This window comes from Homo sapiens, chromosome 11, assembly GCF_000001405.40.
Source record: "Homo sapiens chromosome 11, GRCh38.p14 Primary Assembly".
Lineage (NCBI taxonomy): Eukaryota > Metazoa > Chordata > Mammalia > Primates > Hominidae > Homo > Homo sapiens.
Window position 1 is genome coordinate 7,956,707 of NC_000011.10, and position 12,032 is coordinate 7,968,738.

Sequence of the window (12,032 nt, forward strand, 5' to 3'; positions counted from 1 at the left end):
GGCAAGACTTATTACAAAGCTACCATAATAAAAACTGCATGGTATTTGCCATGAGAATCTACAAATAGATCAATGGAAAAGAATAGAGAGATCAGAAGAGACTTATGTACACTTGATTTATGATGAAGGTGATACTGCAGAATTGTGGAGAAAGGTTGATCTCTTGAATAAATAGTATTAGACCACCTGATTATCACTACTGGGAAAAAATAAAACTTTATCTATCTCACATCATACATCAAAATTAATTCCTAGTGGTTTACCAGACTAAATATGTTAAGTAAAGCAATAAACTTTCTGGAAGTTTATATAGGAGATTATTTTATATTCTCAGGATAGAAAATGTCTTAAACAGAAAATAAAGTTATTAATCATAAAAGAAAAAATGAGTAAATTAAGAACTCATTTATCAAAAGGCATCAAGAGACTGAAAAAACAAGCCAAAAAAATAAGAAGAGATATGTGTAACACATATTAACTGATAAATGACCTAAAACCCAGAATATTTTTAATATCCTATATATCAGTAAAGTTAACCATATTTTTATTAACTAAAGTCCATACTTAATTCAGATTTTCTTAGTTTTTCAAGAGCAATTTTAGGTTTAAAGAAAAATTGAGTGGAAAGTACAGAATTCCCACATATAGTCAACAATACTGTATTATGTGCTTAAAAATTTATAAGAGGGTAAATTTTGTGTTGTGTTTTTAACACACACAAAAAGATAAAAGGACACGGGAACATTTTTGGGGGGATTGTTATGTCTTCTACCTTGATTGTAGTGATGGTTTCACAGATGTATGTGTATGTACAAATTCATCAAATTTTATATATTAAATATGCACAGTTTATTGTATTAAACTAATTATACTTCAATAAAACTTTTTTTAAATACAGAAAGTTCCTATATACCCTCTCCACCACCACCACCCCCTCACAAAGTTTCTCTTATTAACATCTTGCATTAGTGTGACACATTTGTGATCATTGATGAACCAATTTTGATACACTATTATTAACTACAAGGCACAGTTTACATTAGGATTCACTCTTTGTATTGTACAGCTCTATGCGTTTTGAAAAATTTATGTCATGACTCCATCATTATAATATCACACAGAATAGTTTTACTATCCTAAAGTGCCTGTGCCTCCACCTGGTTATCTCTCCCTGACTCTCCTTGAACCCCTGACAACCACTGATTTTTAATTGTCTCCATAGTTTTTCATTTTTCATAAGAGCATATATTTGGAATTACACAGTATGTAGCCTTTTCAGACTGACTTCTTTCACTTAGTAGTTGCATTTAAGGCTTCTCCATATCTTTTCATGTCTTAATTGCTCATTTATTTTTATCACTGAATACTATTACATTATGTGGATGTATCACAGTTTGCTTATCCATCACCTATTGAAGGACATCTTGGTTGCTTCCAAATTTGGGCAATTACGAATAAAGCTGCTATAAATATTCATGTGCAGGTTTTTATGTGGACATAAGTTTCCAACTCACTTGGGTTAATATCTAGGAGCATAATTGCTAGATCTTACATATAGTAAAACTATGTTTAGCTTTGTAAGAAACTGCCAAACTGTCTTTCAAAGTGGCTGTACCATTTTGCATTCTGACCAGCAATGAATAAGGCTCCCACTACTCCACATCCTAACAAGCATTTAGTGTTGCCAGGATTTGGGATGTTAGCCATTCTAACAGGGGTGTCATGGTATCTTATTGTGGTTTTAGTTTGCAATTCCCTAATGACATATGAAGTTGAGCGTCTTTTCAAATATTTATTTGCCATCTGTGTATCTTCTTTAATAAGCTGTCTGTTCCAATCTTTTTACTCACCTTTTTTTTTTTGAGGCAGAGTCTCACTCTGTTGCCAGGCTGGAGTGCAGTGGTGCGATCTCAGCTCACTGCAACCTCCGCCTCCCAGATTCAAGCAATTCTCCTGCCTCAGCCTCCTGAGTAGCTGGGACTACAGGTGTGCACCACCACGCCCGGCTAACTTTCGTATTTTTAGTAAAGACGGGGTTTCACCACATTGGCCAGGATGGTCTCGGTCTCTTGACCTCGTGATCCACCAGCCTGGGCCTCCTACTCACTTTTTAAGTAGACTCTTTACTTATTATTGAGTTTTAAGAGCTATTTGTATTTTTTTTTACCCAAGTCTTTTATCAGATATGTGTTTGCAAATATTTTCTCCCAGTCTTTGGCTTATCTTTTCATTCTCTTAACAGTGTCTTTCACAGAGCATAAGTTTTTAATTTTCATGAAGCCAACTAATTCTTTTTTTAATGATTCATGCTTTTGCTGTTATATCTAAAAAGTCATCGCCAAACCCAAGGTCACCTAGATTTTCTCCTATATTATCTTCTAGCAGTTTATATTAGTACTTTTGTATTTTACATCTAGATTCATTTTTTTACATGTGGATGTCCAGTTATTTCAGCACCATTTGTTGAAAAGAGTAAACTTTCTCCATTAAATTGCTTTTGCTCCTTTGTCTAAGATCAATTGACCATTTTTGTGTAGGTTTGTTTCTGGTTCTCTATTCTACTCCACTGATTTCTCTATTATTTTAACAATACCATACTGTCTTGATTACTGTAGCTTTATAGTAGGAAGAAGTTGGATAGCAGCACTCCTCCAACTTTGTTCTTCTTCAATATTTTATTGGCTATTCTGAGTCTTTTGCCTTTGCACATAAACATTAGAATCATCTTATCAATGTCCACAAAGTTATTTGCTGGGATCTTGATTGGGATTGCATTGAATCTACAGATCAAACTGGGGAAAACTAACATCTTAACAATATTGAGTCTTTCTATTCATGAACATGGAAAATCTTCCCATTCATTTACAGCTTCTTTGATTTCTTTCCTCAGAGTGTTGTCATTTTCCTCATAGAGATCTTGTACATATTTAATTAGGTTTATATGTAAGTATTTTTTGGTGTTTCCTCTGTCCCTCTGCCTTTTCCAGTAGAAGCTTCCTTTTGTGTTCCTGCTATATTATCTTTGCCCTCCTTCTGTCCATGGACAGAAGGACATTTTTGCTCCTCCTTAGGTCCATGACTCAAGCTGCTTTTGACAGAAAATAAATTCTGGCTCTGTGATTTCTTTTCATTTGAATGTTTTATCTTGAATGATACATTGTTCATCTGAATACCTTTTACCAGATTCTTTATTTTAGCTTCATACAGGGAGAATTCCAAATCCCAGGTCCTGTTGTGCTTCATAGATTCCATCTGTTCTTTAAAATGCTTCAGATCCTGCGCTAAACAGGGAGAAATTCTGAAGCAGAACTTGAGCTCCAAGTTCGAGAAGCTGTCTTTTTTCGAGATGTCCAGTAAAAACTGCATAGTGAGGGTCATCTCATCATTCCCTTCCTGCTCCTTTACCTCCAGCAGCCTTTGCACTTCTCTGCGGGACTCCTTCCCCAGCCGGCTTTGGTCCTCTTTCACCAGGTAAGACATGGCATGAAAAAAGTCCTGGAAGCTGATGTGGCGGAAGCTGTAGAACTTCTTGATGGCAAGTCCCAATTGGTAGTCGTTACTACTCAGGAAAGCGGCAAGCCTGGGGCCATCTAAATTATGTTTCCTGAGCTCAGCTTCTTCAAATAGGAACCTCTGGTGCTGAATCCCTTCAGCTGCTAGGGAGCACAGACTCCTCAGGACCCTGTGCCGGGAAAGCTCGGAGCAGCCCCCATCATCATCGGGCGGCAGAAAGGTGGAGACGTAAGCCATGAAGATGTCAGTGCTGTTTCTAGGTGTCTCTAAGACAACTTTGCCTCTCTCCATCTGCCCCTGCAGCCAGGAGCAGACCACCCAGCAAATGCCTGGAACCTGACACGCTTTGTAGAGAATGTCATTTTTCTGTACAATGTCGAAGGCACGGTCAGCTTGCTTCTCATCCGTGAAATAGGAGCTGAAGTACCTCGCCCTCTCCTCCTCAGAGAAGCCTAGGATATGGACATGACGTGCTTGTTTCAGCAAGGGCTCCAGATTCCTCAAAGCCAGGGGCCGGGTGGTGATGAGAAGGGAGCACGTGGGGAGTGTATGTCTCCTAATTAGAAGGTGCAGCAGGCTCTCCTTGGGACTCAAACCCCTCTTCTTCAACTTTTCTTCAAAGGGCCTCTGCAGCTCATCAAAGCCATCCAGGATGAACAGGAGCCGCTCTGGCTGCCTCAGAATCTCTGTGACAGGGGCTTGATTGTCCCCGCAGCACCAGAAAAGGAGCTGCTCCAGTTTGCTCTCCAGCAGCAGGACCACTTCTTTGCAGCTTACATAAAAGACATAATCAAACCGGCCTGGGTACAGAGTACCGGTGGCCCAGTCCAACACCATTTTTCTGGCGAGAGTTGTCTTTCCAGTGCCAGCCGACCCCTGTAGCACAACTAAGGATGGGGCCAGTGAGGGCTTTTCCCCTGAATCAAATAGAGCCTCCACCGTGACAGACTCCAGCTCCTGCTCCGGGAAGGGGCAGGCAAGTGATTCTGGGCTCTCTGAGCTGGGCTTGGCCACCAGGAGCACCTGGTTGTATCTGCCATTGACTCCTGCTTCCTGCCATTCCTCTAGGCAGCGCACATGCTCTCGGTATACTTCTCTGTAATCTGAGCCAAACAAATGGGATGTTAGGTAGTGAAATGGGAATTTTAGAAGGCAAAATGGCCCCTCCAAACTGACTCTGCTCATTAGTCTTCTTGTATGTCTCCAACTTGGATCTTGCTGAGATTATAGTTCTGGCTTCATGGGGAGGGGCCACTGTATGTGTGCATGAGTGTGTGTGTGCAGGCGCAGTATGCATATGCACATCTGTATGAGTGTGCAAGGGTGTGCTCTGTGTGTGTGGATAGTTGTGCATGAATGCTGGTATCCACATGTGCTCGTGGACCTTCATGTACTGTTGTGGAGGGAAGTCATGTCAGTGTGCATCAGCAAGTGTGTGTCTGTAAGAATACATGTAAGTGCAAAATGCCTGTGTGAGAATGCATGAATGTCTGAGTGTTCATGTGAAATGTCTCCATGTGAAGAGGTGAGGACAGAGAGAGGGGAAAGGAAAGGGATGCCTGAGGATGGTGAAGTGATAGGAGCCTTGATATAGTTTGGGTGTTTATCCCCTCCAAATTTCAGGTTGAAATGTGATCCCCAATGTTGGAGGCAGGGCCTAGTGGGAGTTGTTTTTGTCATGGGGGCAAATCCCTCATGAATGTCTTGGGGCCCTCCCCACGGTAATGAACGAGTTCTTGCTCTATTAGCTACACAAGAGCTGGTTGTTTAAAGAGCCTGGCACCTCCTCCCCTCTCTCTTCCTCCCTCTCTTGCCATGTGACACACCAGCTCTGACCTTGCCTTCTTCCATAACTGAAAGCTGCCTGAGGCCTCGCCAGAAGTCAATGTTGACAATATGCCTCTTGTACCACCTGCCAAACCATGAGCCAAATAAACCTCTTTTCTTTATAAATTACCCAGTCTCAGGTATTGCTTTATAGCAATACCAAAGGGACTAAGATAAGCCTGTTCTTTTTTTTTTTTTTTTTTTTTTGAGATGGAGTTTCGCTCTGTCGCCCAGGCTGGAGTGCAGTGGCGCGATCTCGACTCACTGCAAGCTCCGCCTCCCGGGTTCACGCCATTCTCCTGCCTCAGCCTCCCGTGTAGCTGGGACCACAGGCGCACGCCACCATGCCCGGCTAATTTTTTTGTATTTTTAGTAGAGACGGGGTTTCACCGTGTTAGCCAGGATGGTCTCGATCTCCTGACCTCGTGATCCGCCTGTCTCAGCCTCCCAAAGTGCTGGGATTACAGGCGTGAGCCACTGCGCCCAGCCGATAAGCCTGTTCTTGGGAAAGGACAAGCCAAATGCTAAAGATAAAACAGCTTCTCAGAAAGAGCCATGACTCTGGGTCCATGAAACCCTCCCATTTGTACGTAGCAGAGGAGCTTTCAAGCATGAAAGGAGCCTATGGGAGGGAGCAAAGGCACCAAAAGATCCCTCCCTCCCCCCAGGCACCCACAGGAAGAACCAGCAGGCCATGAGGTCCCACACCACCCATTCTGTAGTGTGGTTCCTTGAGAGATCAGGGCCACAGAAGACTTAGAAGCGCCTGAGCAGCTTGCCAGGAAGCAGCTAGGGACAGGTCTGACCCCTACATCCTGATGCTATTTCTTCTGGTTAGTGGAAATCCCTTCACCAACACCCTCCCAGTCTCTAAGACCCTTTCTTCAGACTCTCCCCTTCTCTGCCACTGCAGCTGGAGGTAAGATGTGGGGAAGAAAGGCTAGTCTTTTCTTAAATAAATCCCAGCTTTGGCTCAGTCCCCCTCCTGACAGTTGTTGGAACCCTCAGGTGGAGACCACCAAGGACTCTGGGGCACCAGGGACTAGAGGACAAGGTGACAGAAGGCATAAGGTACAGGCTACAGGCAGCTCTGGAAATGCCATGGTGGGAGGGGAGTCCCAGTGCCATCCTGCCCTCCCCTTCCCCCGCTCCACACTCACCATGCAGACAAATATGGCTGAGCTGGTCCACAAGTTCCAACAGGTTCATGACCTTCAAGCCCTTGAGGACAACTTTCACAGCCTCCTTTTCTCCATACTTTGAAATCAGTAATTCTGCCAGGTCCACCGGAATCAGGCCCTCCAACTCCCCTCTGGCCAGTGGGGGCTGGCCCTCAGACAGGGTCATATCCCGTAAGTAGAACTTTAACTTCTTGAAATCGTTCTCCTCAAGGTCACTCAAGGCCCAGAGCAATGCCTCCCGGGGCTTTCTGGCCTTGGCCATGGCCATGGTGATCTGGGGGAAGGATCAAGTCCAGACCAGAAGACCAGTGACCTGGAGAAAGAGGCAAAAGGAGAGGTCCACTGCTGAGAGGCCCACCCTGCTTTCTGGGGGCTTGGCCAAGTTATAGAGCGGAGGCCAGGGAGAGACGAGATACATGTGCAAAGCTCCAAGAAAGACAAGCAGATGAAACGCAGGGGAATTTTCCTAGTCATTCCCCTCTGCCTCTTAGTCAGGTGACACGTGACTGTGTTGGCAAATGGGTAGGAAGGTATGTAGGTGTGTTAATCTCTCAATCTCTCTCTCTCTCCCCCAAACTCTATCTCTGTCTCTCTCTCTCCCCCCACTCCCTTCCTCTTTCCCTCTCAACACGTTCTTTATTAGGCTCTGTATGCCTCCTTAGACGGATGGATTAAGAAAAAAAAGTCTAAGTTTTTTATTTTATTTTTTTTGGAGACAGAGTCTACCTCTGTTGCCCAGGCTGGGGAGCAGTGGCATGATCTCGGCTCACCTCAACCTCCACATCCCACGTTCAAGCAATTCTCCTGCCTCAGCCTCCCAAGTAGCTGGAATTGCAGGTGCCCACCACCATGCCCAGCTCACTTTTGTATTTTTAGTAGAGATGGGGTTTCACCATACGGGCCCGGCTAGACTCGATCTCCTGACCTCAGGTGATCTGCCCGCCTTGGCTTCCCAAAGTGCTGGGATTACAGGCATGAGCTACTGTGCCCGGCCAAGTTTTAAGTTTTAAAAGTGAGACTGTCCCTGGCTGTGTGAACCTATAGAAAGCTGGAGCACATTTGCTGGAACTGCTGTGGTATGGCAAGAAGGTAAAAAAAATCTACACTCAACCCATTGGCCTCACATGTCAGCCTCCTGGCCTCAGTCACACAGGGATTGCAAAGCTAGAAGTCTCCTAATTCAAATAAGGAAACAAATCCAGATAATGATAGGAAGAGGAACCGCCACCTGTGAGTGCTGACTTTGTGCCAGGTGATTTACATATCCTTTTTGATCATCTCAGAAATCGTCTCAGGAACTGTTCCACATGAGAAATTTGGCAGTCAGAGAAAAATGGTTTTTCAGAGTTTTCCAGAGCTAGGCCACCGGGCAAAGAGGCAGGATTTAAACTGGTCTATGCCCTGGGTGGAAGAGAGAGACAGAAAAAACTCAAAAGATAAAGAAATAGAAGACAGAGTCAGGAACCAGAAAGTTAGGCTAAATGTTGCCAGAAGCTGGAGACATGTATAAATACTAAAGTAACGGGAAAGGAGAGCAGAGTTTTGAATTGTGTTTCTAATGTAGAACCAAAATGTAGGCCAGGTGGCAGTCTTTGGAAAAGAAAAGCAACAATTAATAGAAAGCCTTCAGAATCCAGAAATACACCTGTGACCTAAGGCCCATAGGGAACCCATCTCAGTAGTACAATGTCACATTCATCATTGAGAGTGTTCAAAAGAGAATTTGGGAACACAGAGAGTTGTTGCCATTCAAATACCAACATTTTGACTACATACTGACAGAGAAAGAAAATGTTTGGAACATGTTAGGATACAGGGGACTTTGGTTGTGAGTCATAGGCCAGTTTGGAAAAGCAGGCCTGTGAAAGCAGGATCAATTTACAACAAAGCTTCAGGCTGCATGGGAAGACTCAGGGCTTCCCTGCAAATTTCTGATGTTGGCAGAGCTATTTAATAATTCAGGAAAGAAAAGACAACACTAGAACCTGCCAAGAAGATGTCCAGTCTAGGCTGCTTACCACAGTTCAGACTTGGGGAGCTGGAGGTGAGGCAGCGAGAACTCAGCTCCCTGATCCAGGAGCCCAGTAAGCAAAGCCTGGGGACTGAGACGAAACAGATCCCCTTTCCTGGTCCGACAGCTCTACAGGTCCAAGTTTGGGCTCTCTTAGCCCATACTCACTAGTTCACTTCTGTTTGGTGGTGCTGGTACCTACCAGCTACAGCTTGATACCTAACAGTTCCTAGTATATAGGCCTGGAACAGAAGGGCCCCTCCCCATCTGCCCCAAGCCTCTGTGAAGCAGAACCACCCACTGAATGTCAGTGGGATGACTGTCAATGGGATGGGCAATTGCTCACCAGTGGGAAACTTGACCTCATTTTTTCAAATGTTGAAGTTGAGAAACAAGGGAGGGGTGGAAGGCATGAACTATTCTGTCACCAAGAGAAAAAGAGCCCAGGAGACTTCCCACATCCCTCCCTGGAACCCACACTCCTCCTCTACCACTTAACCCCAGCCTAGGCTGGGGCAGTTTGACTAGAGAGACGAAAGAATTGAAGCACTGCCACCACCATATCCTCCGCCAGTGCACCATTTCTCTAAGTTGTTGAAATCACTGGAGAATGAAAAAGGAAGAAGATAGGAGCTCCATGAAGTAGGAATTCAAACAAGGAGAAAAACAGGCCAGGCATGGTGGTTCACGCCTGTAATCCCAGCACTTTGGGAGGCTGAGGTGCGTGGATCATTTGATGTCAGGAGTTTGAGACCAGCCTGATCAACATGGTGAAACCCTGTCTCTACTAAAAATACGCAAATTAGCCGGGAATCATGGTGCATGCCTGTAATCTCAGCTACTAGGGAGGCTGAGGCAGGAAAATTGCTTGAACCCAGGAGGCGGAGGTTGCAGCGAGCTGAGATTGTGCCACTGCACTCCAACCTGGGCAACAAAGTAAGACTTTGTCTCAAAAAAACAAAAAAGAAAAAGGAGAAAAACAAATTCCCAGAAGGCAGCCAGTCCTCTGGCCTAGAGAGCTGAGGATCCCCAAGAGCCCTGACAGAAAGAGAACAGGTTTCTCCAAAAAGAATGTCTCCAAGAAAAAAGAAAAAAGACTTGCTAGACTAGCTGATGCTATTGGCCTTCTAAAACAGCCTATTGGGAGGCTATTAGAAGGTGGAAAAAGCTAGCAGTAACTTCCAAGAAAACCAGATAAATGAAAGTAAAATAAAGAAATTACTAGCAAGAGGAGAAACAAAAAATAAAATTGGAAATATAATAGTAAACTAATATACTCAAGTGTGAATAATGTTTGCATAGAAATCATAGTGTAACCACTGAACATTGCTCTAAAATTTAAAATATAATTACATTGAAAGGATGGTGGTGGAATGTACTAGAAGAGGAAGTTGATAGACAATGCCTAAAATGTTGAATCAAAAGATAGTGATATACAGTACACATATTACTTCAAAATGCAGAGATGTAAGAAGAAATAGTTAAAATCTAATGTATTAATAGTTGTTTTAGCGAAAAGAGACTGGGCATCAGGAGAGGAAAGGACTACTGTTCCAGGGCATAAGTTTTTTAATGCCTATTGACTTTAGAAATCATAACCATGTATTACTTTGAAAAGATAAAAATTAACTTAGCAAAGAAACAGTAAGAGGTAAAGAAATGGAGTTAACATGTATAGACAAATCTCTCTGGAAGCTTGGTAACAAAAGTGATGAGAAAGGTCCTGAGGTAATATGGGAGATGTGAAGTCCAGAGAAGGTTTTGTTTGCTTTAACATGGGAAAGGGAGGAATGTACCTGGATGCTGATACAAAGCCTCCCATAGAGAGGTCAGGTTAGAAATGCAGAAGAGAAAGGCAAGCACCAGAGGGGGGAATGGAGAATGGGGATTGGGACAGGATTCGAAGCAAAGGCAAAAGATTGGCCTTTGACAGGAGGCTGGAAGGAACAGCATCCATTCATTCCTGAGGAAAGTGACAGAGGTTGTTTGGCAGAGAAAGTCAGGTGTGTGGGTTTTGTGGTCAGAAGATAAGCATGGTCATGTCTGAGTCTCCATATGCTCTGTGAAGTACATGTAAGAGTATCTCCCATGAGTGAGAGGGCAGGGGTGGTTGAGGAGAGGAGACACCTTAAGGAGGCCACTGCAAGCCTTCCCTCCTGTGCACCTCTCCTCCTCCTCCAAGGCCTCTTGTGCCCACTGCTCAGGGAGTACCCCAGAGTCCAGGGGAACAGGCAGGAATGGGACTGGCCTTTCCCAGTGCCTTGACCAAGATGAGGCTAGCGACAAAAACAAGACTGCCAAGAACCAGGACCCAGAGACCAAGATGGGAAGATAAAAGAGTGAGACACAGTTATGTAGTGAGGGTGACAGAGAGAGCAGAAAGGCCACCTACTGCAAAGGCACCAGGTCTGGAGACCACTGTGCCAGATTCAGAATCACACCTGAAGAAAGGAGGAATGAGATGCATGGAACCAACTATAATTGGAGGGTGGAGGCAAGAGATGAAATGAGTCCTCCCTGCCTATCCACCCTGGCCTGGCTACAGGCAACACTGATAATTGCAACTAAGTCCCAAAAAGGGCAGGGGTGGAGACAAAAGAAAGAGAAACCAAGCCTGGGAATAGCAAGAGATCAAAAGAGTAAAGAGTCAGAGAAGAGATACAGAGAGATATCAGAAAAATGAGCAAACAAAATAGAAAGTCAGAGAGAGATGAAGCCAGCTGGTAGGTATGAGTCTCTCACTTTCCCATACACACATACACACATACTTACACACTCACTCTATACACAGTGTTTTTTCACAGCAAACTGTTAGAAACAAGGGCAATGAGAAAAACATGTGAAGCAATTGGAGTTTCTCAATCAAGCTGCAGTGTTCCCACATTCATTATACTCTTTCCCTACCTATGGAGGCAGATCCCAAGGCAAAGTTGAACACATGTCTTCATCCTCTTGCTTCCAGGCCTTCTTTTTGACACAGGCAGGAGCTCCAACCCCAGTCTGTCCCCTCTTATACAAGGGCCCTTTGAGACAGTCCCCTCAGGCTCCCCAAAGGTCACCATCTTCTCCTTTATACCTTGGTCAGTTTTGATGGAGTTAGCACATGGATTTGGTAAGCTTAAAGGTCTTCTTGAGACAGGAGATCCTGTGGCCATTTTGGAGGTATCTGTCTCTGCTGCTAGAAGCTGTCTTTTCTCAAGAGTATTGTCACAAGGCTTTTGTAAACCAAAAAGTATCTGAGACAGGTCTCAATCAATTTAGAAAGTTTATTTTGCCAAGGTTAAGATGTGCCTATGACACAGCCTCAGGAGGTCCTGAAGTAATGTGCCTAAGGTGGTCGGGACACAGCTTGGTTTTATACATTTTAGGGAGACATGAGACATCAATCAATATATGTAAGACGTACATTGGTTCAGTCCAGAAAAGTGGGACAAGTCAAAGCAGGGAGAGGGCTTCCAGGTCATAGGTAGATAAGACATAAACAGTTGCATTATTTTTAG

General features: G+C 44.0%; 1 protein-coding gene across 2 annotated transcripts; it reads right to left on the bottom strand.

Annotated features, from left to right (window-relative positions):
• NLRP10 (NLR family pyrin domain containing 10) lies at nt 831-8,741 on the bottom strand. 2 transcript variants are annotated; one of them, NM_001391958.1, is made up of 3 exons: nt 8,540-8,741; nt 6,501-6,834; nt 831-4,616 (listed from the first exon to the last, which is right to left on the bottom strand). In NM_001391958.1, exons 2-3 carry the CDS (start codon nt 6,787-6,789, stop codon nt 2,938-2,940), a joined length of 1,968 nt encoding a protein of 655 aa, NP_001378887.1. In that variant the 5' UTR covers nt 6,790-6,834; nt 8,540-8,741; the 3' UTR covers nt 831-2,937. The 2 variants fall into 2 exon arrangements, with proteins under 2 accessions (NP_001378887.1, NP_789791.1); NM_176821.4 differs by lacking the exon at nt 8,540-8,741 and having other exon boundaries at nt 6,501-6,968.